Source organism: Homo sapiens, chromosome 5, assembly GCF_000001405.40.
Source record: "Homo sapiens chromosome 5, GRCh38.p14 Primary Assembly".
NCBI classification, from domain to species: Eukaryota; Metazoa; Chordata; class Mammalia; order Primates; family Hominidae; genus Homo; species Homo sapiens.
In genome coordinates this window covers 80779888-80806987 of record NC_000005.10, presented here as the reverse complement: position 1 = coordinate 80806987, position 27100 = coordinate 80779888, and the positions used below count along the sequence as shown (strand labels likewise).

At 38.0% G+C, this 27100-nt stretch overlaps 1 protein-coding gene across 1 annotated transcript in view; it reads right to left on the bottom strand.

The window, feature by feature from the left end:
* Window positions 1-27100, bottom strand: part of MSH3 (mutS homolog 3) — a 222164-nt gene that overhangs the window by 69828 nt on the left and 125236 nt on the right. Inside the window, exons 18-19 of the mRNA NM_002439.5 lie at window positions 19316-19423; window positions 14144-14255 (exon numbers count right to left, since the gene is read on the bottom strand). Of these exons, the coding sequence (NP_002430.3) occupies window positions 14144-14255; window positions 19316-19423 (220 nt within the window). The remainder of the gene's footprint in view (window positions 1-14143; window positions 14256-19315; window positions 19424-27100) is intronic.

Genomic DNA, 27100 nt, shown 5'->3' with positions numbered 1-27100 from the left:
CAAGTGATCCTCTCACTTCAGCCTCCCAATGTCCTGGGATTACAGATGTAAGCCTCCATACCCAGCCAGCAGTTTCCAAGAACGTATTGATAATGTCAAGTGAGGACTGACTGTATCTACTGGTTTCATGGAGGGACATATTCATATGTTCACATATGTATCATAAAGATGTCAACTCCTCCCCAAATTGATCTATAGGGTCAATGCAATTCCAATACAAATCTCAATTTTTTTCCCCCAATTAACTGAGTAAGTTGACTCTAAAATAGAGAGAGGAGCAAAAGCTAAATAGAAATTAGGAATTCTATTAGGAGAATAGGAGGGGAGAACTTTCCCTACAGATGTAAAAAGTTATTATAATGCTATAGCAAATAAGCTTGTGTGATTCTGGCTTGCACACAAACACTGACCAGTGAAAAATAAGAGTTCAGAACAGCCCCATAAAAATGTGGAAACTTAATATATGATAAATAATTCCATAAACTGATGGGAAAAGGATGATTTGAAAACTGGTACAAAACAATTGATTATCCATATAGAAAGATATGAAATTAGATTCCTAACTCATATCATGTATAAAAATAAATTCTGGGCCAGGCACAGTGGCTCACGCATGTAATCCCAGCACTTTGGGAGGCCGAGGCGGGCAGATCATCTGAGGTCAGGAGTTCGAGAGCAGCCTATCAACATGGAGAAACCCCGTCTCTACCAAAAATACAAAATTAGCCAGGTGTGGTGGCACATGCCAGTAATCCCAGCTACTTGGGAGGCTGAGGCAGGAGAATCACTTGAACCTGGGAGGCGGAGGTTGCTGTGAGCCGAGATCGCGCCATTGCACTCCAGCCTGGGCAACAAGAGTGAAACTCCGTCTCAAAAGATAAGTAAATAAATAAATTCTGAGTAGATTGATTAATGACTGAAATTTGAAAATTAAACTTTAAAATGTTTATAAAAAATTATAGGAGAATATGTTTAAGACCTCAGGGATTGAAATAATTTCCTATTTAAGGCACAAAAGCATTCACCCATAAAAAGAAGGACTGATACCTTCAACTTCATTAAAGTTAAGGCTTTTTTTGTCATCAAAAGGCATCATATTGGGGCCGGGTGCGGTGTCCCACGCCTGTAATCCCAGCAGTTTGGGAGGCCAAGGTGGGCAGATTACTTGAGGAGTTTGAGACCAGCCAGGGCAACATGGTGAAACCCCATCTCTATTAAAAATACAATAATGAGCTCGTGGTGGCGCATGCCTGTAGTTCCAGCTACTCAGGAGGCTGAGGCAGGAGAATCGCCTGAACCCTGGAGGCAGAGGTTGCATTGAGCCAAGATTGAGACACTGTACTCCAGCCTGGGCAATAGAGTAAGACTCCATCTCAAAAAAAAAAAAAAAAAAAGGTAGGGGGGGGGGGCATCATATTGAAAGTGAAGACAAAAAATTACTCTAAGTAATCTCTTTTAACTATAAAACATACATTCCTAATCATTTAAAAGTTCTACGGTACAAGTTCAATTTAAAGTGTAGAGTATCTCAAATTTTCTAATGAATAAATTCTAATGTATATTTCAGTATTTAATTGTGTGCATTAGGGGAAATTTAGATGCTTGAAAAGTAAAAAATAATATTAAGAAGACTTAAGTGTATGGAGAAGTTTTTTCCACCACCCCTTCTAAAATGGCTTGCCTGATCACTATGTTTGTTTCCCAACCCACATACCAGTTTTAACGCTCTTGGCTATTTTGGTCTCAGGTTAGGTAGCAAGGCTACAACTTTGAGAGCCAGACACTGCTGAAGCAGGCAACAGAAATACCAACACACTCAGTGCTTTGCTTTGGCATCTATTGAAACATGAAATGTGATGAAAGTTGTTACACTAGAACAAACTTCAAATAAAAACTTCACTTTCTGGAGATGACGGGTGGATTCCTGTGGGTCTTTTGGCCCAATGTATCAGAAAACAAACATTACAAGGTAAGTCATTCTGTCTTCACTCCTGTGACAGTGACCAAAAAGATCCCTATTGTTGAAGGCTAACAAAGAACAAGGCTGCCTAATCATATACATATCATTAAGGTCAAATTAATTACTTCCCTCCCAGAGTATCATTCACTATTGCCAGGCATGGTGGTATAAACAATGATAGCCCTTCAGGCTGGATTTGCCACCTGCTGACTGTAGACCCTAGGACCTTGAGTGAACATAGATGGTAGTCAGACAGTGGTTACCACGGGCCTTGGGTAAGACCCAGTATTCTGCTGGCTTCAGGTCAGACCCAGTGCAGTCCCAGTGGTGGTGGTCACAGAGGTGCTTGAGTCACCCCTCCCTCAGCTCTAGGTGGCTCAGCAGAGACAGGCTCCGTTTGTTTGGGGGAAAGTAAAGGAGGACAACAAGAGTCTCTGCCTAGAAATCCAGGGAATTTTCCAGAATATTATGCAAGACCACCAAGGTGGTAACTCAAAGAGTCTACAAGAGCTACAGTATTACTGGACTTGGGGTGCCCCCTAATGCAGACATAGCTGCAGTGACCACAGATTTAGATCAGAACACTCAAGTCCCTTTGAATACTTGGAAAGCCTTCCCAAGAACAAGTACAAACAAGCTAGACTGTGAAGGCTACAATAAATACCTAATTCTTCAATGCTCACTGGGTCAGACCTGAAGCCATCACAACACTGGGTCTCACCCAAGGCCCATGGTGACCACTGTCTGACTACAACCTATGTTCATTCAAGGTCCCAGGGCTCTACATAAACTAATGCAAAAAATTAAAGAGGACACACAAAAAGGGAAAGATATTCCACATGCATGGACTGGAAGAATAAATATTGTTTAAGTGTCCATAGTAACTAAAGCAATCTGTAGATTCAATGCAATCCCTATTAAAAGACCAATGACGTTCTTCACAGAAATAGAAAAAATAATCCTAAAATTTATATGGAAACACAAAAGGATCTGAATAGCCAAAGCCATCTTAAGCAAAAAGAACAAAACTGGTGGAATCACATTATCTGACTTCAAGTTATACTACAGAGCTATATAACCAAAACAGCATGGTACTGGCATAAAAACAGACACAGAGACCAATGAAACAGAATAGAGAACCCAGAAACAAATTCACACACCTACAGTGCACTCATTTTTGACAAAGGTGCCAAGAACATATGCTGGGGAAAAGACAGTCTCTTCAATACCCCCATATGCAGAAGAATGAAACTGGACTCCTACCTCTCACCTTGTAAAAAAATCAAATCAAAATGGATTAGAGACTTAAATCTAAAACCTCAAACTATGAAACTACTAGAAGAAAACATTGGGGAAAATCTTCAGAACACTGGTCTGGGCAATAACTTCTTGAGAAATACCCCACAAACACAGGCAACGAAAGCAAAAATGGACAAATGGGATCACATCAAGTTATTAAATAAAAATCTGCACAGCAAAAGAAACAATCAACAAAGTGAAGAGACAACCCACAGAATGGGAGAAAATATTTGCAAACCATCCATCTGATAAAGGAACGCTAACCAGACTATACAAGGAGCTCAAAGAACTCAACAGGAAAAAAACTGAAAAAAAATTTAAAAATGGGCAAAAGATCTTAATAGACATTTCTCAAACGAAGGCATACAAACAACAGGCATATGAACAGGTGCAACATGATTGATCATCAGAGAAATGCAAATCGAAATTACAATGAGATATCATCTCACCCCAGTCAAAATGACATATTCAAAAGACATGCAATAACAAATGTTGGTGAGGATGTGGAGAAAAGGTAACTCTTGTACACTACTGGTAGGAACGTAAGTTAGTACAACTGTTATGGATAAGAGTTAAAGGTCCTCAGAAAAGTAAAAATAGAACTAACACATGATCTAGCAATCCCACTGCTAGGTATATATATATATGCCCAAAAGAAAGGAAATCAGTATATTGAAGAGACAGCTGCACTCCCATGTTTATTGCAGCACTATTCACAATAGCCAAGATCTGGAAGCAAACTAAGTGTCCATCAACAGATGAATGGACAAAGAAAATGTGGTACACTACACAATGGAGTACTATTCAGCCATAAAAAAAGAATAAGATCCTGTCATTTGCAACAACATGGATGGAACTGGAGGATATTATGTTAAGTGAAATAAGCCAGCCACAAAGTGATAAACTTTGCATGTTCTCACTTCTTTGTGGGAACTGAAAATTAAAACAATTAAACTCATGGAGATAAAGAGCAGAAGGATGGTTACCAGAGGCTGGGAAGGGTAGTAGGGGTGAAGAAGGTGAATGGTCCTTGGGTACAAACATATAGTTACATACAATGAATAAGATCTAGTATTTGATAGGACAACATGGTCACTATAGTCAACAAAATTTATTGTACATTTAAAAATAACTAAGAGTATAACTGGATTGTTTGTAACATAAAGAAAGGATAAATGCCTGAGGTGATGGATACCCCAGTTACCCTCATGTGAGGGTAACATTATTACACATTCGGTGTCTGTATCAAAATATCTCATGTAATCCATAAATATACACACCTACTATGTGCCCCCAATTTTTGTTTTGTTTTTTTAAAGAATCAATTCTGTGAGGTACCATGGCAGGATTATTCATGACAGCAAAGAGTAGATACAACAGAGAAAATATTAAGGCAATTATGGTATATCCATATTGTTGAAAACCATGAAGCCATTAAAAGTTATCTTAAGACTTTTTAAGAATATAGGAAAATATTCATGTTATAATATTAACTAAAAGAGCAGGATATAAAAATTTTTATATAAAAAATGGCTATTTCTTAAAAAAAATTACAAAGAAAGACAAAGGAAACATTCCAAAATGTTAACAGTGGCTATCTTTGGAATTAAGGAGCAATTTCCTCCCTTTCTTTATATTTCAAATCTTAATCTAACACTTATTTGTAAATGGATTCTACAGCAATGAGAGTACTAACAACCATTTGTTCATTGAATGCATACTATGTCAAGTATTATACAAAAATTTTCACTGTGGCGTCAATTTCTATGAGAGCCTTGATAAGCAAGAAAATAACAGAGTGTGAAAATAAAAGTATAAACATGAATAAAGAATTGGCCCACAAAAGAAAGGTGGTTTCTAGTGTGGACTCTGGACAAGCCAATACACCTCTCTAGGCTTCAGTTTCCTCCCCTCTAAAATCAGGGAGTTGAATTAAATAAGATCTCTCATCCTAAATTCAGGTACATTGCTTGAATATGTGGCCCTGGGTGGAATGAAAGAGCAGGAATTAAATTGGCACCAGAGCTCTGTGCCAGATTTGCTTGGAAGATGAGAAGTTGTGGAATTCGTTTGCATGAAGTACCTGGGAAAAGTGGTGCATGGTGAACCTGGGCAGACTTGGGGATACTGTTGTAGAGACAGATTTTTTCCAGCCCCCACCACCCCTGCCCCAGGATTTGAGGATGTCAAAGAAGAACTAACTTCAAGGCTTTAGAAGTTAAATGTGTTCAACCCACTAAACTCAAATATTTGTAGGTGACAACATGGTGGCTTTCTTAGTAAGCCCTAAGAGACTGCCAGCACGAGATAAGTTGTACATCAGGCACTCTAGTAAACACCAGCAGGAAAAAAGACACAAGACTGAAGAATCAGGAGGTCCTCTAGGTAAATAAAACCTCCTGTCTCCATGCCCAGTGCCACTGCCCAGGCAGGTGACTGCAGTGGCTCCTGCTGGGTCTTCCTGCTTCTCCTCTGCCCACAATCCACTCTCCATAGGGCAGCCAGAGTGACTGTCATAAAAAGTAAAACAGAACTTGTTTTTTGCTAAAAGCCCTCATCCAGATCCTCAGAGCACTTCTAAGTGTCTAAAGGTCACAGTCTAAAGGCCATGTCTGCCTCCGATCCATTCTTCTACCACCCTCCACCATGTTCACTTGGTGCTAGCCAGACTTGATTTCTGCTCTCCTTCCACCTGCCAGAATACAACATGCTCATTCCTGCCTTAAGGCCTTTCTACAGGTCTACACTCAAACATCAACTCCCAGGACACACCTTCCTTGACCACCCAATCTACAGAAGCCCCTCTGCTCTGTGATTCTCTATCACATCAGCCCATTTTATTTTGTTTTCAACCTTCTCTGAAATTACCTGAATTTTCTTGCTTATTTATTACCAATCTCACTTCTAGAAAGTAAGTTCTCATGAGAGCAGGAATTGTGTCTTCTAGTTCATCCCCGTTGCCTAGAACAAGGCTTGGCACAAAGAAGGCACCCAATAAATAGATCAAAGAGATGAATGTAATACACAAAAGGCATTACAGCAGAGATTTCCACCATGTTTACATTTCAAAAACAATCATTTGCTTTCTCTATAAAAATCTGTCAAGAATATATGACCCCCTTGTTTCCACGGTTCCCAAGATGACACAATAAGTAAGGAAATGGTCAAGAAATTTCACTCATCTAATGTGCTAATCTCTTTTAGAAAGATCGTGCGTATTTGAGGCAGCACACATCAAGGGTTCCCAGATATAAAAGACACATAAAATCTATCGGCAGGACCAGTTAGCATGAGTGAATGTTCTAACCAAATAGCCAGAATCTGAAAGTTGGCAATAACCACCTCTCCACACACTCTGGAGCCTACTGGGAATACCAGACTGGCCTAGACAGTGCCCAAAGCTGGGCTAGCACCAAGCCTAAGGAGGCCACACACAGAGCAAGTTCTCAAGAAACTAAAGGGGGATGAATGAATTAATTAATGATAGCAAACAAAAGCTGGAAGTATTGCGCTGAAGGGACTATGTTGCTGGATAACAACTAGAGAGGACTGCCTTGGCAAACCTATGAAGAGACTAGAAGTACATTCTATTAAGTGTTCCCTTTAGTATTGGCAATATCTGTCTGAATAGCATCAATCAATAAGATCTTAGTATTGTTTATCCAGTATCTAAACAGTGAGTCAAAACTTGTGATAACTAAGCAACTTCCACATAGAATGTCAACTTCTGTGGGGGAAGAGAAGATCTAAAAATAAAAGACAAACTTCAAGATATCTTAAGAAAATCACAGATAACAAGTGCCAGGCACTGTGCTAATGATTTTCTATGTATCACTTCATTTAGTTCTTACAACAATGTCACAGGGTAATACTAATATTACTGGATTCCCATTATACAGGTGAGGAAACAGAGGCCTAAAGCTAAATATCTTTCCCAGCAACTAAGTCGCAGAACTGGAATGTTAAGTGAAGTTCATCCTCTGACATGTCTCAATGGGGACGCTTGCTCAATGACAGGGAATCATAGTCACTACTAAATAGGAGAAGACATGCTTTCACTCCATGTGTTCATCATTGAGTACACTAGAATAATGGACAGTCATAATATCCCTGAAGTCAGCAGATGTACAGCAGAAAAAAAATAAAATAAAACTGTCACATGTTAATTTCTAAGACCTGAAAAGCTAATTTTCTGTAAAAAAAAAAAAAAAAAAAAAAAAAAAAAAAAGTGCTATCTTCCTTGACAGGTATAAATATTGACAACTGTCTTTAAAGAAGAATTATGGGAGAACTATTTTTATAACAGCTGCAGACTGCTGAAAAAGTTTGGTAGTTTCAAAGTGTTTTATTCCTCGAAAATGTCAATCAACAGCAGGTTATGGTAAGAGACTCTTGAGTCAAAGCCTCCTCCAGACGAGCTCTCAGCCAAATCTTTGCACTTTTAACCCAAGGTGAACTAGAAACAGAAAGAGGGAAAATGAAGCTGGAGAGCGGCACCAGCTGCATGTTGAGATGCCAAAGTCAGGACTTAAATCCCTCCAACACCTGGATCCTGCCCAATTTACATTCCCCTGGGTGTGAGGGCTGGCTGTGACCCAGCTTAACCACCTCCTTTTACAGATGAGGAAACTAAGGCCCAGCAAGTAATCGTGGTCTATCCAAAATGAGAGTGAAATGACAGCAGAGCAGGATTTTAATTTAAATCTCCTACCATTGTGAGCCACTTTCCCACTACACTTGTGTAACAAAAGTAGTATGTGAGAGCTTTAAAAACAGAGCAAAGAAAGTGCTTGAATAGAAAGGGATTTTTTCTGGCCAGAGGATGGTGAAGGCTCTCAGGAAGAGGCAGTGTTTTGTTGGGTCCTGCAGGAACAGTGTGAGTCCAATCAATGCAGACAGGTAAGAGATAAGAAGAGAGGGGAGGGCCATTCTGGGCAGAGACAGCAGTGCAGGTCAGAACACTTTATCAGACAAATGTCCTTCTCTATCCATTGTTTCAGAAGCAGGAGAGAGGAGAACCAGAGGAAAGGACTGACAAGAAAACAATATTCAATTGCCATTAATGTTTCCTAGAATTTTAATCCATGGGCTCATGATTCAAAGATCATGCTATGTGAAAAACACCTTTACAGCAGAATCTGTGAGAATATAATTTAGCCATGGAATTAAATTAAGCTTAAAGCTCAGACATATTTTATGGTATGTATTATTACTGTTCCACTTGGTAATTAGGCACAAATTGTCAACAGCTTATGAATATTACTGTAACTAGTCTTTTAAACTTTTATACAGCCAAAGCAAGTATTTCTGGGCCAGCTAGACATTATTTGTACTGAGATAAGGGAAGGAATTGGGAAATCTGTTCATCTTTACCAGCTTCAAGCACTTGTTCATGTAACAAATGTGTGAGCACCCATTCCATACCACATGCGGAGCTAATGACTGAAGCACCCTAGGCCCATCTTGATCTCACAAGAAGGGACTGTGACTAGCATCTCAATGTCTACCCTGCCCCAGCAATAAAACACCTGGGCTGTGAATTCTGCTTGGGCTAGAGAGCTACAGGGTTCGAGTGCTTCCTGGGAATCTTCCTGTTGTGCACGTTTGACTCATTTTCTTCCCACCCAACAAACTGAGAAGCTGTCAACCACTCTTTCCCCTCCCCTCCATTAGTTGAAATTTATATTTTTTATACTAAAAACAAAAACCCTACAAATGAACTGAAAACCCCGACTTTAACTGCTGTTGAAAATCCATCCACTAAAAAAAAAAGAGTCATTTGGTTTAACAAACAATCCTGGGAGAGTTGAGATTGCAGTGGGTTCGCTGGGGTTTCCCTAAGCAGCAGTCCTGGGCTGCCTCACAAGGTGACAGGGGTGCCAAGATACTGACCCCTTAACCCACAGGTGGTGGGTGGGGCTGGGGCGGCCACAGTCCCTGGGCCAGCCTCCTTGGCCTCTGAGCAACCTCTTCCTTCTCCTTTTAATCCAGTGTTCCATTAAAATACTATCATTTTCTGTGTGATGCAAAGTGAAAAAGGTTGGAAAGCACTGGCTTGCCTTAAAATATGTTTATGTTTTGGGAAACAGTTCAAGACGACCCAACCTGAGCAACCTCTGGCAGATCATTTCCCCTTTCTGAACCATAGTTTACTCAGAAGTATGAAGACGTGGTTACACTAAAAGATCCCAAATTTCCCTTTTAGTTTGACAGTAAAATTATTCTGTAAATTGGGGCAATCCCCATATAATATCCTGAAAAAAAACATTTTGTGTAGAAAATAAAAGGCAAAAATTTCAAGTGAGACTTGGAGACTGCTGAAGGCTTCTAGCTAATCCTTACTGATTTATTAAATCTGATTAGGTGCCAGCTATGTGCCAGAGAACTGTGACTGATCCTGGGATTACACATAGGTGACAGAGATGTAGTCCCTGTTCTCTTCATGCTTACAGTCCACTGGGAAAGGCAGATAAAAAAAGAATGATTATAATTTGGTGGAATAAGTACTGAGATGTGGAGAAATAGAGTGGCGAGGGTATGTGAGAGGGTTACCCATCCCAGCTGGGCAAAGGAAGGCTGAGTGCAAGAGCTGACATCCAAGGCAAGACTTGAACAAGCCAGAGCTGGGGAGTCGGGTGGGTGTTGGGTGGGTGGATGTTGGAGTGTGTGAGGCGGGAGTGGGTGGGGTGGGGAAAGATGACATTCTAAGCAGAGGGAAAACCATCTGCCAAGTCCCAGAGGCACAGTGACTTGGGAACGGCATGAAGTCCAATCTGGCTGGAGTGTGAAGTATGAATTCAAAAGGGAGAGTGGCATGGCACGTTCCAGAAGCCCTGTGGCTGCAGAGTAGAGAATCCATGGAGGTGGGCAGGGTGGAGGAGGGAGCTCCAGCGGTGACCACATGTATAAATGCTTGGATTATATAGTGAATCAAGGAAGGGGACAAAAAGAAAGAGTATTTTAAAAAGTATTCTTAAAACTGGGAGAGGAAAAGCGGGCAGAAAGTTGGCTTATTCAGAAGCACTATAATAAGTTCATGTAATACAGAATACAGAAAAGTATACTTATAGTTACATGTACAAAGCACCAGTTCTTAAAACCACATGATTATCAAAAACAACAATGTCATTTAACTTTGAAATTATTTTCAGGGTATATTTTATAATTAACATCCATAAAATATTTTAAATTGAATTTTACGTAAGTTCTTTCTCAACACTATCCCTATATATAAATTTTTACCCTGAAAAATAGAATGCACTTCACCATAGCAACAGTTCTATATCAACTCCTACTCAAGTTAGAAAAAGCATATGTAATAGAAACGAATATTCTGGAATATTCTGAGGTGCCTGCTTGAAAAAAAAATTACTCCATTTACTTTGTAAAGATTTAAATGTAAGAGTTCAATGTTTCTTTAAAACATTATTGTAATTAGACAGAAGGCTATTTTAGTTCTTCAAATCTTGCTTTATTAAAGTGTAACATACGTTTTGAAAGAAAAAGAATGAAAAAGGAAAGAAAAAAAGAAATAAGTCAATCCCAAGGGTAATATTCTTGAGGTCAAGTAGATGGGCAGGGAAACAGTAACAGGAAATTATTTTAAGAAACTTATAGTTCTAATATTTAGTTGCTTAGTTTATATTTAACTTATATTACTTTCTCAAGAAAAGCTATATCCTACTGGTATTATGAGAACTGAAAAAAAAAATTCTTATGTTGACATAGTCTTCTTTTTTTTTTTTTTGAGACAGTCTCACTCTGTTGCTCAGGCTGGAGTGCAGCGGCCTCCTGGGTTCAAGCAATTCTCCTGCCTCAGCCTCCTGAGTAGCTGGAATCATAGGGAGGCGCCACCATGCCCAGCTAATTTTTATGTTTAGTAGAGACAGGGTTTTGCCATGTTGGCCAGGTTGGTCTCGACCTCCTGACTTCAACTAATCCTCCTGCCTCGGCCTCTCAAAGACATAGTCTTCTTTTTAAAGACAATAAAAAGATTGGTACTTATTAACTTGTTTGACTACCACATATAAAAATTTCCTAAAAAAGAATGAACAAGTTTATAGACATTGGGTCTTAGGTTGCTATGGTATGAATATTTGTCTCTCTCCCAAATTTGTATGTTGAAATCCTAACCCTCAAGGCAATGGTATTAGAAGATGGGGCCTTCAGGAGATGACAAGTTCATGAGGGCCTGAGAGAGACCCCTTATCCCTTCCACTGTGTGAATACATGAGTAAGAGACCCTTTACCCATTCCACCATGTGAGGTGTCATCTAGGAACCAGGAAACAGGCCCTCACCAGAAACTGAATCTGCTGGTACCTTGATCTTGGACTTTCCAGCCTCTAGAACTCTGAGGAATAAATTTCTGTTGTTTATGAGCTACTCAGTCTATGATATTTTGTTACAGCAGCCTGAACAGACTAAGACATGCATTATATACTACCAACAAGTCTTGTTATGATATGAAAATCCATATTATAAATTAAACTAGATGTCATTCAAAGTATTTCCCTTCACATCCCCCTCTCATGGCCAGCCAAATGCACCATGCCACACATCTCTGCCACCTCTGCTCACAGCCCGAGGTAGAATACTCTGTTACAGTCCCAGCTCGCTACTACTCTGAGCTTTCTCTGATCTACATTCCAAATGCTCCCCTACATCTCAATTCTTTCACTGTCCTCAGAAGAGTTCCTTAGTACTTCTGTTTCTAACCACCTTGCTTAACATTTCCTTCATACACTAAAATGAAAACTGGCTGGCTGTTTGTTATTCCCCTGCAGCTCTCTCATTTGGGCGCTGACCTTTCTGCCACATCCAACCATGGACCATGTACCTCAGGGTTCAGGGTTCAGAAGCTCTTCTTTAGGGCTTTACCACTGTCTGTCCTCAATCTAAGCTATCTATAAACTTCAGGATTCCCAATCGCCATTTCTCGCAATCTCAGACACCTGGATCCCTGTTTTCCTCTATGGCATATCTTGCTGTTATCTTAGATTTCAACATTCACATGGACAACTTTTTCCCAAACTCTGTTCCTTGATCTCTTCATCTCCAAAGACCTTCTCCCTTCTGCTACCCACCTTCCATAGCCATACATAAGATCTTGCCATCAACCAGAAAAACAGCACATTTGATATCTGAAAGTCAGGCATTTTATTCTCTGATACCTTCTCTCTCACATAACTACTCCCTACATATTCATTTTTTGACCCATCACCATACCGTTTTACCCCATGTCCTTGACCAAATTCTCATCAGGTTTTTTCTCTGAGCCCTCTTCTGGACTAGTTCTCAACTTTGACCTATAAAAACCTAGAGACTTTGAGTAAAAATGATTTTGTCCACCCTCCCTACTTAGAAGTTACCCCACTAGCATAGTTTCTAACAGCTCAAGGCTGCATCCTTAGGATGACCCCAGCCCCACTAAAAGTATCTGCCTGAGAAAACTCAGTGCTGCCAGGATTCGCCATTCCAGCCAAAATTTGGTGACAGGCAGCCAGATGCTGAAGCCCTTCTTAGAACAGTTACCTTAGAAAGCTTGCAATTATAAATACTTTTTCTGCCCCTTTGTGATGTAAATCTATCACCCAGAATTGTCTTCTTAAGGACCAGAGAGCTGACTCTTTGAAATGTGGTATAAGCAAACAATTAGTAAACCCAGATAGGTTTCAAATAACCACACCTCACTCTCTCTCCTCCCCCAGCTCATTCCCTTTCCCTGTTCCCTCGTATTCCCTTTAAAACACCCAGTCATCTATGCCAAAATGAAGTCAAGTTCAGTTCACACTGGACTCTTCCCTATGCAGGAGTATTACTGAATAAGATCAATCCTTACCACTTCAGTGCCCAGCTCCATTTAGCTTTGACAATGGAACTCAAACACCCTGCCATAACTTCACTATTTTTACCCAGCTTCTATCACTCTCTTGCTAGTATTCTTAATCTTTTAGGGGTAAAAATGCAAATTTCTTGATATGAGTGAACTGGCCTCTTCCTTATCTCTGAACACTTCTTTGTTCACACTCTGCACTCCAACCTTACTCATCATCTTTCAGTTCCTCGAATTCCTCCTGCTATGCTTCACTTCCAATATCTGCCATGCTGGTTCTTCTACCTGGAATACTCCCCTTCAATACCTTGGCCTGCACTGACTCATTCTTCAGTTGGTATCTCCTCCCTGGGGAACATTCCTCAATGCTTCCCTGCCCTTGGGTTAGGCCAACCTGCTACCTATCCCCAGGCCATCCTGGTCTCCTCTATCATGCCATGCACTAAGCTGTATTGCACTAGCCTATCTTCTCTGCTATACAACAAGCTCTGTGAGGGCAGGGAAGAGTTCTGTCTTGCTTACTAGTCTCTGTTCCTAATACTTCATTACCTGAGACACAGGCACTCAGTAAGTATGTGTTAAGTAAATTAAGTATTCAGGATCATTTGTGTTATGTAAGAGAAATCCAGCCCCTATAATGAAAATTCTCATCACTGGAATCTGCAAAGGCATCTCTGATTCTTGCATAGAATATCTGAAAATAGTCACAGTACAAAGGATGGAACACTACATGCTAACATGAATTTGCAAAACTATGGTATAATTCCAACTCTATTTGCATATTGGGTATTTACAAATGTAAAATATTTTTATTGGGTTACCTAGGATAACTAATTAGAACTAAACTTTTAGTTACTAAACCTATTGATAATCTTGCATTGGAAATAGCACCAATTCCACATTTCGTGGTAAATATAAAACTATGTCCAGGCTTAGCCCATTTAAAGCCAAAGTTGAAATTTGGGTAACTTTTAATTATAAAAATGTTTCTTTGGTATGTAAAAGTTTGGGATGTTATCATCGACTTATTTTTTGGCATAAGGTACTTACTGATAAATCTGTATTATTTGGGACATATTGATCCTGTTCTCCCAGCAACACATCAATCACAGGGTGCCTTCCATTTTTTATTACAATTTTTCTTTCTTCTTGTACAGTTGGTCTGCAAAAAAGAAATATGTTTCAATTTACTAGGCATGGAAATAGCCTTAAAAAAAAAACTCTAAGATAGCATGAAAAATTTCAGTACTCTGTTTGTACGACAGAAAACAAAACTTTAAACATAGATTTTAAGAACATATGTCCAGAATAAAACCTTGAGTATAAAAGTTAAATTTGAACTATAAGATCAAAATTGGGAAAACATTTATTATTATAATAGTGCACTGAAGCACATACTTTAGAAGAGTCTTATAAATGGCTTCACCCTTGTAGTTTACCTTTACAAGATCTTTTTTTTCTTTTCTTTCTTTTTTTTTTTTTAAGAGATAGGGTCTCAGTGTGCTGCCCAGGCTGCAGTGCAGTGACTATTCACAGACACAATCATAGCACACTACAGCCTCAAGCTCCTAGGCTCAAGTGATCCTCTTGCCTCAGCTTCTTGAGGAGGCTGGGACTATAGGTGCATGTCACCATGCTGGGCTTTATTCTTCATTTTTCTATTGTTGTCTGAGATCAAACCAATATTTTCATTAGTAAAGATAACAGTTCAGATTATTGCTACTTATTTTCATTAATGAATACAATAAAGTAAATCACATAAAATTATTTCTAGATGTAATTATTAATATAAACTATGTGTTGGACTTGGAAATGAAATGACCTAAAATTTTCATACGCTGTTCAATTAAAACATCTTTCTACGGTCTTTTGTATCTTTTACTTTGATACAAGAATCATTTTTTGACCTTGATGTTCTTTATGCTTTTTAAAGACCTCTATATCTGTTTTATCTACAGCTTTAGCTGTGTATTCAAGCACCTCTGAGCCCTGCCCTACTCTCAGCTCTCCTTCCCAGATGTTACTACTGAGACCAGCTTGGTGTCTACCCTTTCCAACCTTCTTCTGTGCATTTATGTTTATGTATGCATCACACTCGTTGTGATTTCTTTGGAAAAGTCATACTGTAATCTATCATTCTGTAACTTAAAAAATTCAAAGTTTATTTTAACTCTCAGTACACACACAAAAAATAGATTTCACCATTTACTATCTGGATTTAATATATTCCTTTAAAGTCATTTCACAAATAATTTTACAGAAATGAGAATAAGGGGATAGTAAAAAAAATCAACCTCATGACAAATTTTAATAAGAATTTAAACACAGCAAATCTCAAAAGTTTTATTCCATATTCTCCTGGTTTTCAAGGCATATATATCTGAAATGGGTAAGACATTCTGAATGTCATTGCTCATCAGCCGTCAAGCATGCATCTAGAACATATTCATTCATAAATACTAAATTCCAAATTTCAATACATTTCTAATAGGTTCTAGAGCTGATTATTTCTGATTCTTTTCACATTTGTATCAACAAAAATGCAAATACTTGAAGAAGTTTTTGAAATCTTTTAAAGCTCATAATTTTCTTAAAGAGATGGTCATCTTTGCTCCATAATTGCAAAATATTTTCATTTTTTGACTTATCAACACCAATTAGAATAATCAAATGAGTACCTTTATTTCTACATCATCTATATCCTTTCAATCTCCTGTCTGTCTATAAATTGTAACCTATAAATTGTATCAAGTAAATTTTAGTGAATAAATATTATAAAAGATAGAAGAATACTATCACATCTTTCAGCAAAACAGGACAGTCCAGGTTCTTGTCACCAAATATTACATGATGAATGTTTCCTATTGAATGACTAACTGGACGAGAATAACAGAGTTCATTTTGCCCTTACAAATATATTATTCACATACCAACTTTTGAGTTTGAGAAAATTCACCTAGGATATTTTCTGAGCATTCAGAATCTCAGATTTTGCTGATACATGAAATTTCACCATCACCATGAATATGCAGGGCACTGGTTTTTTTCTCTTCACATTCATCATCTGATTAAGCTAATAATTATGAAAGGCCTTCTGTCAATTTTGTTCTCTTTGCCTTTACGGGTGAACAACGAAAAATTCTGAATTTTCAACTGTGTTCAATGAAAATTAGAAGCAGACTCCAACTGTGGCATCTGCACTCTTCTTTTATACCTTCTTGGAAGATGATGTAATGCGGGCAATACAAGAAGAAAACAGAAGGATGACGTGATAGTGATTTCTCCCCTCACTTCTGCATCATCATTCTCTCATTTTCTTTTCATTTTAGACTTTTATATTATAGTTGAAACAAATGATAAACAATGTTAAAACAATACTCAGGATGAAGAAATAACAAAATGTTCCAAGATACAGAAAAAATAAGATCACTAAAGATCCCAAAATGCATCTTACATTTATAAAACAATCCAATAAACCCACATGGTAAGTGTAAGACAGAGTAAGTTTTACTCTCCTTTTTAAAGGAAAAAAAGTAAACTTCGTCTTTGTTCTTTAGATGGCCTTTAAGAAACTGAAATTAGGTTCAATAGGCCCTTACAGTAGAGTATACTGAAGATCACTTCTTGTCAGATTTTCAAAGCTGCTACACATTTTCCACTGTTAAACATTTAGATTGCATCCAAATTCTTACTTATAAACGATGATGCAATGAACAATCCTATACACATCTCCACGTGTACAAGTCCAAGTGTTTCCCAAAGCTAGAGTAAATTTTTAAAGTGGGATTCCTAAGTCACAGAGTATGCTTATTTTTTATTTTAATAGACAAGAGTAGATATACCAATCTACTTTCCTACAAGCAGGATATGAAAGTTAACTTGTTTTCTCATACCCTCACTTAAAGTTGGTATTATTAAACTTTCTAATGTTTGTCAACATAACAGGTAAACAGCGTTATCCCATTGTTTTAATTTGCACTCACTGATTACTAAGATTGAACATCTTTTCATCAGTTTCTTGGTGATTCATTGGTCTTTTTTCAAAAGCATAATATCCTACCAATGACCTCCTATAGTTCTTTGACTCAGAACTTTCATGTGTAACCACATTTCTGAACTTACTCATAACACCAATAAATACTACTTTCCTAAATTATTCTTCTTAAATATATCTGGCTAATAAAATCCCAGATGCTCTCACATTTTGCAAAGAAAGTGACTACAGGACAGGCGCTATGGCTCACGTCTATAATTCCAGCACTTTGGAAGGCCAAGGCAGGTGGATTGCTTGAAGCCAGGAGTTCAAGACCAGCCTGGCCAACATGGTAAAACCCCATCTCTACCAAAAATATGAAAATTAGCCAGGCGTGGTGGCACACGCCTGTAATCTCAGCTACTCAGGGGGCTGAGGCAGGAGAATCCCTTGAACCTGGGAGGCAGAGGTTGCAGTGAGCCGAGATCGCACCATTGCACTCCAGCCTGGGCCACAGAGTGAGACTCTGTCTCAGGAAAAAAAAAAAAAAAAAGTGACTACAGTGTCTTCTGAGTAAATACTTTGAAATCATCTGTTGGAGAGAGACACTTAAAATTATGAAAAAAGGATAGTTTTTGGATTTTAGAGTGTAATTCTGAAGACAAGATTTTTTGTCTAGGTGGGTTACAAATTCATTGTAAAAGAAAAAAATGAAAGTATTTGTGACATTAATTTTAAAATAAAATCCTAGGTGCTCTGCCAAGTGAAATCATTATATAATATTCATGACACTGATATGATTTACCAGGAAGATTTTCACTTTGGAACAAAATTTTAAGTGATTTTTTCTGCACTAAAATTTACATCGACTTATTCTGTTGCTATCAAAATTATATAATGACAAAACGCTTCCTGGCAGAATAGGATGCAAAGGATAACTCACAGAGCTGGGAGGATACACTAGGATAGAACACGCATAGCAAGAAAGCATACTGATGACACCTATGGCAGTGAAGGGAATAATCTAGATGCCTCCTGGAAAGAATAAAACATTTGAACTTGAACAACTTTATTTAATTTTGTATTTTTTAAATTCTATCTCTCTTTTTTTTTTTTTTTGAGACAGGCTCTTGCTCTGTCACCCAGGCTGGAGTGCATGGGCACTATCATGGCTCACTGCAGCCTCAAACTTCTGAGCTCAAGCAATCCTCAGTGTCCCAAGCAGCTGGAACTACAGGTGTGCACCACCACGCCCAGCTAATTTTTTAATTTTTGTAGAGATAGGGTCTCAATATGTTGCCCAGGCTGGTCTCAAAATCCTGGTTTCAAGAGATGTTCCTGCCTCAGCCTCCCAAAATGCTGGGATTACAGGCATGAGCCACCAAGCCTAGTCTTACTTTTTCTTAAGTATATATAAAATCAAGCTTTGGAAGACATACAACTTGTATGAAAGTTTTGTCTGAAAAAAAATTTTTTTTTTTGAGACAGAGTCTCACTCTCTTGCCCAGGCTGGATGGAGTGCAGTGGCACGATCTTGGCTCACTGCAACCTCCACCTCCTGGGTTCAAGCAATTCTCCCACCTCAGCTTTCTGAGTAGCTGGGATTACAGGCACGTGATACCACACCCGGCTAATTTTTTTTGTATTTTTAGTAGAGATGGGATTTCACTGTGTTAGCCAGGATGGTCTCGATGCCTTAACCTCGTGATCTGCCTGCCTCAGCCTCCCAAAGTGCTGGGATTAGAGGCGTGAGCCATGCGCCCAGCCATCTGAATTTTAAAGTTAGATTTGTTTGTGCTAACATCCTTTATGAAAAAGAGAATAAATATTCCATGTTGGGATGTTTAGAGGTCAATAAAGAATAGTGGGATGAATATGGGCTCTTAACAAAAGGAACAGATCACTAAAATGCCCCTCAGTCCCTATCTTCTCAGTCTTTTCTTGCCTAATCAAACTTTTATAATTATAAAAGTGTTCAAGTAAAAGCTAACAAATGAAAAGAGTGCTGAAACTTTATAAAAATGTCACCCACATAAACTTTAACATCTGCTTTCATTGTACTCAGTGACAGAGGAAGCAAGAAATGAATTTAATTTTCAAATCAAGCTACATATGTATGACATTCAGCTTTCCCAAGAGTCTAACACATTTGAGTAACTGTAATATTTTATAATAAAGACACTATAATTAATTGAATAATGTCATCTTATCTAAAGCACTGATAAAGAGGAAAATGAAAAATATCTTACCTGCAGTAATCTCCTTGCTTAGCGACCTTGGCCAGGGAGAAAATGCAGTCAACAGTTGCTAGGTGATGCACTGCTTTACACAAGGAGTGATAATGTTCACTGAATTTCCTACGGAAGCAGCAGCAACAACAAAAAGGTGAGCAAACTGATATCTTAAACCTATAATAGCTCTACAACAAGCAATCACTTTATCAGCTAGTGTAAGCATACAGATGATCAGCAGGCATTCCTAACAGTTAAGAGAGATGGAGATTACACCAAACAGCTTTACTTTTTAATATAATAACTAAATTATTGAGGCTTCTGTTTTGTATATAAATTTAAAACAACTTCTATGTAAAGATATCAACCATTAAGAATATATCACAGATTTCATCTGACCCTGACATTTGAACTTAAGATATAACATAAATATAGCAGTCATTTTCATTTTGCTTCAATAACATCATGAAATATTCATGTGGATCAGCTTCCCTTGTGCTTCTCCTTCACAGCATCCTCCAAATCCGGAATAACAGTTTCAACACCTTTCTCTCACACTAAACTGGAAGCTTCTTGAAAGCAGGTTGTCTATCTCATCTCATTAACCCCATTGTAGACCTAACATCTAGTTTATAATGTTGGCATAAAATAAACACTGTAATAAATATTTATTGAAGACAAGGGGAAAAGGTACTTTTTTCACTTATCTTCAGTTATCTTATTAATAATGCATATAAAAACTAAATTTCAGATTTGTTTTTTAAAAGATAATGGTCATTGCCTCAAGTCTCTGGCTACTTAAAACTATAATATTTATTGATCTAAAAGCCTAAATGGCTTTTAATGAAAAACTTATTCAGAAAACATACATGAATACTTTTTTCTTTTTTCTTAAATTATCCCATTATCTCATATCATAGTATTTTATGTCAATGTGTGTAGTGTCGTATAAATTGTGGACATCTGTATGTAGTGATCAATTGTGGATGTGTGAAGTGTACATAATTAAACTACAAAAAGGACCCAAAACTTAATTTTTAAGAATGGCCAAGTATAAAGTATCTTTTTAAGTAACAGGAAATATATAGCTGAGCTTAAATCTTTATAGTAACTACTCTGCCTCCAAGAGAGATTAAGAGGCACAAAAAATGTTTAAGTAGGTGGTGATAAGTCACAAATTCTTCAAAGACTGGAAAATGAGAAAATGTAATAAACTAACTGTAAATAGGTCCAAAAGGAAAGCTGAAAGGAAAACAAACATTTACTAATCAAAGACTACGAAGAAGCCACTACATATTCTTTACAACAACCATAAAGGTAGGTCTTCATTACCTAAGTTTTACAAATGAAGTTCAGAGAGAAAAAGCAGTTAGCCTAAAGCAATTGAGCCTAGACTCAAACTGTGCTCTTCCTATCACCCTACTTCACAGTGCAATTTTACAGACTCCTACTAGCATCTTGCCTTATTTTTGTGCATACATAGAAATAAAATAGAAATAAGGTGCCTACTTTTTTTTAATTTATTTTTTAATTAATTAATTAATTATTATTATACTTTAAGTTTTAGGGTACATGTGCACAATGTGCAGGTTAGTTACATATGTATACATGTGCCATGCTGGTGTGCTGCACCCACTAACTCGTCATCTAGCGTTAGGTATATCTCCCAATGTTATCCCTCCCCCCTTCCCCCCACCCCACAACAGTCCCCAGAGTGTGATGTTCCCCTTCCTGTGTCCATGTGTTCTCATTGTTCAATTCCCACCTGTGAGTAAGAACATGTGGTGTTTGGTTTTTTGTTCTTGTGATAGTTTACTGAGAAGGATGATTTCCAATTTCATCCATGTCCCTACAAAGGACATGAACTCATCATTTTTTATGGCTGCATAGTATTCCATGGTGTATATGTGCCACATTTTCTTAATCCAGTCTATCATTCTTGGACATTTGGGTTGGTTCCAAGTCTTTGCTATTGTGAATAATGCCGCAATAAACATACGTGTGCATGTGTCTTTATAGCAGCATGATTTATAGTCCTTTGGGTATATACCCAGTAATGGGATGGCTGGGTCATGGGTATATACCCAGTAATGGGATGGCTGGGTCAAATGGTATTTCTAGTTCTAGATCCCTGAGGAATCGCCACACTGACTTCCACAATGGTTGAACTAGGTTACAGTCCCACCAACAGTGTAAAAGTGTTCCTATTTCTCCACATCCTCTCCAGCACCTGTTGTTTCCTGACTTTTTAATGATTGCCATTCTAACTGGTGTGAGATGGTATCTCATTGTGGTTTTGATTTGCATTTCTCTGATGGCCAGTGATGGTGAGCATTTTTTCATGTGGCCAGTAGCGCAATGGGTAACGCGTCTGACCACGGATCAGAAGGTGCCTACTTTCTACATTTAAAAAATAGTGTAGCTCAGATATTCTGTACGACCTTTTAAAGATGATCCAAAAACGTGAAAAAGACAACAAACGGACAATAAATGCCTCTCTTTAAAAACATTTCTCTATTGTAGTGTGGGTTTCAGAAATGTTGAGACAGTCTGTTTACTACTGAAATCCAAAGATTTCTACAGTGCTTCCTAGCTTGAAAAAGATATCCAGATTACACTACTAGAATGATGGACTATTCCTATATAATCATTATGACTTTTTAAAACTGTAACTTCTGATATTTCTAGTATTATTAGAATAAGGTATTGTACATAAATGACTTTTTCCAGATACTAGAAACAACATTTTAACTATCCAGCTTTATTTCTGTTTTTTGTGAACCGAAAAATATATTCACAGTATACTGTATACTTATTTACTGAGTAGATAGAACATAATGAATATAACTTATCTATTTCTCACTGAATTAAAGTTCATCAAAACAAATAATACGATTCCCACCAACAGTGTTAGAATCTGTGCAAAACCACAAACACAAAACGGACAGGCCCCTAGCATCAGACAGGCAGCCCTCAGTCACCACTTTAAAATGTGGAGGGAAGTGGGGATGGCTAATGGGTCCAAAAAAATAGAAAGAATGAATAAGACCTACTATTTGATAGCACAATAGGATTACTATAGTCAATAGCTTAATTGTGTATTTTGGAGTGGCTTAAAGAGTGTAATTGGATTGTTTGTAACTCTAAGGATAACTGCTTGAGGGCATGGATACCCCATTCTCCGTGATATGCTTATTTCACATTGCATGCCTGTATCAAAATATCTCACGTACCCCATAAATATATACACCTACTATATACCCACAAACATTTAATAAAATAAAACAAAATAAAATGCTCTCTAGTTTTGAAGATGCCACATGTTGCATTGACCTAACTGCCCTGGGTGTTTAGAGTTAAGAGTCACCCTAAACCCGAGTGGGTGCCCACTGACTTTGCCTTGTTATTCCTGCTCTGGCTTCGACTTTATTTATTTATTTATTTATTTCCCTTTTTTTTTTTTTTTTTTTTTTTTTTTGCGACGTAGTAGTCTCGCTCTTTCGCCGAGGCTGGAGTGTAGTGGCATGATCTCAGCTCACTGCAACCTCCGCCTCCCAGATTCCAGCGATTCTCCTGCCTCAGCCTCCAGAGTAGCTGGGATTATAGGCATGCACCACCACACCCAGCAAATTTTTGTACTTTTAGTAGAGACGGGGTTTCCCCATGTTGGCCAGGCTAGTCTCGAATTCCTGGCCTCAAGCAGTCCACCTGTCTCAGTCTCCGAAAGTGCTGGGATTACAGGCATGAGCCACTGCGTCAGCCATGGCTCTGACTTTAGATCTGACCACTTGTTGCCCTCTTGCACTGTGGCGTATGCTGTCTTTGTTCTAATTACTGACCCATCCGGTCCTCCTATCTAGGCACCCTCTCTTTTGCCAGAAAGCAGCCATATTTGGTATTTCTGCCCTTGCCTCTCTGGACATGAGTATCAAAGCTTTAGCAGTAACAAATGGTCAATTTTTTTCTCACTCTTTCCTTCCTTCTCAGGTCCTGCCCAGGTCCTCAAGACTCTAATTTGCTACTACTCAGCAGCTTGACTTGAGGGTAGCTATCTCTGATGATCTAATTCTTAAGATGGAAATGAGTTAACACAGCTCTTAGTGGGTCCCATTTCAGTTAAAACAACAAAAAAGCAAGAAGGGATAAGTAATTATTTTGATATGAACAACAATGCTCTTTCTGATGTCAATGGTATAAATAAGACATGAATAAAATGAAAAACTATCATAAACCTATAACATCATAACTCTTAAAGAAGGCTTGTTTGACATCTTGGTCTTTGTCCATTTGATACACTTTGCCAAACTTCAAAGAGATTATCCATACTTAGAAAAATGGTAAGCTGAAAAATGGTCAATGCAGATAACAATCTGGTAGACTGGGTTTATAGCATAACAACAAGCAATTTTATCACTATGCTACCAACCAACTTAAGGATGAAGTCAAGGCACTATGATTTAACCTCTGGCCAAAAGATATTGCTGGGTCCATAGGAAGCAGATGAAGACACTTTGGTTCTAAAGCTGTTATAGTGTTATGATGACTAGAGAAGTTTACCATGAAGTGTTGCTCAATGATATCTGAAGTTAATAAAAATTGAAAATATTTGCAAATGAATTTCTATAATTTTTTATGATATAATTCAATTTTTAAATAATTTGCAATTGAGAAGATTACTGAATATACACAGTCCATCTTCTAGAACAAAAAAAAGAGAGACATGTTTCAAGGGAGGATTTAATCCACAGCAGTGTCTACAGCCTTAATTTCTGACAACATTTTGATCAAAAGTAATGTGACTAATGCACAACAGTTAGTACCTCAGTAAGTGACAAATACATTTGTAATGCTGGTATTCAATCCTCTGATGTCAGGTTCATTGAGGTTAATCATTTTTTTAATGATATCATAGTCACACCATCTGGTACCTCAATAAATAGTGTACATAACAATCAATGCTGCTCTCAAGTGGGGGCTCTAGTTGCAAAATGCTCTAGCTAAATTTCAGCCAATATTCTTTTTCTGGATAAAAACTTTAATACACTTTTCTTATTCTGAAAGTAATATATGTACATTATAGGAACTTCTGAAATCATGCTCAGTCATCCCTCAGTATCCATAGGGGATTGGTTCTAGGACCCCCTGCAGATGCTAAAATCCAACATGCTCAAATCCCTTACATAAAATGGTAAAGTACTTGTATATAACCTATGTACATCCTCCCATAGACTTTAAATATCTCTAGATTACTTATAACACATAATACAATGTAAATGCTATAAATAAATAGCAGTTATACTGTACTGTTTCAGAAATAATAACAAGGGGAAAAAAAAAGCCTGTATGTGTTCAGTATAGATGCTACCATCCTTTTCATTCCTTGAATATTTTCAATCTGCAGTTGGTTAAATCCATGGATGCAGAACCCACAGATATCAAGAGCCAACTGCATTTGCAAAGTAAAGAAATTAAAATCACCAGTAACCTCACCATCCAGAAATAATCAGTTAACATTTTGAGTCTACATATACATATATATATGTATGTATGTTCATATGTATATAGGAATAGATATTTCTCCAAAGATATACACATGGCCAATAAGCATATTAGTAATACAATAATAAGCATATATAATCTTTAAAAATATAAAAGTCTGTATGCTGTGCATTATGTAAATATACACATATAAAACTGTATCATACTTTTACTTTACATGATTTTCTTCACTTAGTAATTAGAGTATCATATGCTTCTATGATGTTATATTTACTGTTAGCTCACTCTTCGCAACTCTCAATTACAGCCTAGGGATAATATAATAAAAACTCCTGGGTCAACCTAGTAGAAGGCCCAGTCAGAAGGCCAATACAGTAAGAATGGTTTGAGGTAATAATGGGCTGTTAGAAGACAACAGAAGAAGGGACAAATCAAAGAAACACCTCAAAGGGGGAAAAAGACAATCAGAAATTTGATAACAGGTTGGACATAGCCCAGGAGTTCAAGATTATGCTGGGGAACATAGAGAAACCCTGTCTCTACAAAAACACTTAAAAATTAGCCAGGTGTGGCACTGCATGCCTGTGGTCCCAGCTACTAGGGGGCTGAGGTGGAAGGATTGCTTGAGCTGGGGAGGTAGAGATTGCAATGAGTCATGATTGTATCACTGCACTCCAGCCTGGGTGGCAGAGCGAGGAAAAAAAAAAAAAAAAGAACTTGGTAACAGATAAAGGGACCAAAAGGAAGAAAGAATCAAGAATAACACCAGGATGATTAGCCTGGGAGACCTCAACTTTCTTTAGTCTGGAATAATGACAAGAGAATAGAAGCCAGATCTATGAAATTATGTAAGGTCTGAATAGAATGAACATGAAATTACCTCACCAAATCCCAGGACCCTTCTAGAATGTGAGTCCTTGAAGACTGAAAGGTGTAATTTTAGTTCAGTTTTCACATTCTCAGTGGTAATACTAAGGAAAAAGCCAGGACAACTGAAACACTCAAAGGCCCTGAAAACCCTTAAAATAGAAAATTAAAAGTGAAATAGAAAAGAAACTGAATAGACAAAATTTCCATCCCTCCATTCAAGACTCTGAGTCAAGCTAGTCTCAAAAGATTTAAGTAAATTGGAATCTCTTCCTGGTCTTACAATTCAAGACTCCTCAGGGCAAAAGACTGATACCAACTTACTAGCTTGTAAAAATTCTCACATATCTTTTTTGTTTTTAGTTTTTTTCATTTGTCGGGTTGATTACTTGAAATACAATAAAGCTCCCTGAAGGACGTCACTGAATTTTTACTGTTTAAGGTTTTATTTATTTATTTGAGACAGTCACGCTCTGTTGCCCAGGCTGGAGTGCAGAGGCGCAATCTCGGCTCACTGCAACCTCCGCCTCCCCGGTTCAAGTGATTCTCGTGCATTAGCTTACTGAGTTACGTGGGATTACAGGTACATGCCACCACACCCGGCTAATTTTTGTATTTTTAGTAGAAACAGGGTTTCACCATCTTGGCCAGGCTGGTCTTGAATTCTTGGCCTCAAGTGATCTGCCCACCTCAGCCTCCCAAACTGCTGGGATTACAGGTGTGAGCCACTGCGCCTGGCCTGTTTATGGTTTTAAAGTGAGAGACTAACAGATGTATTTAGACTGATGCCTGCAGGCTCACCATGGGCAGGCTGGCAAAGGCCAGACATCTGGCTGCCGGATGGCTGGGGCTGAATCTGGGCTCCAACCCTTACCCTTGGAAGATTAACTTCTTATTTCTGCATCTCACTTTATTCATTTGTAAGTTGGGTATGATACTTAGCCTTACAGGGGTCACGTGAAAAATACTGAGTTTATATATAAAGTACTCAGACCAGTGGTGGTCTAGAGCTGGTTCCTATGGACTCATGAAAATCAACTGTGTACATCTCTTCCCAACTCCAGTCCAGTGGTAGCTTGACATCAGCCCTGGTGGGAGTGTTTACACTACAGAAATCAGCAAACTCTACAAACATGACTGTCCTTCCAAAGAGCTGGCTGTTAAACATTGGCCAGCATGCCATGACTTAAAACTGCCAATATGAACACATGACTATCAATAAATCCAGAATATAAGGCATTCTTTGAGACAATGGCAAGGACTCTTCAAAAAATACCATGGTAAAATAACAAAAAACGTGGCAGATAATTCTAGGTTCAAACAGACTAAAGAAGCATAATTACCAAATGCAACATGTAAAAGTTGATTAGGTCTTTCATTTTAAAATCTAAAGCCGGTGGCGGGGGGACATTGGGAAAATTCAAGAAATTCAAATAT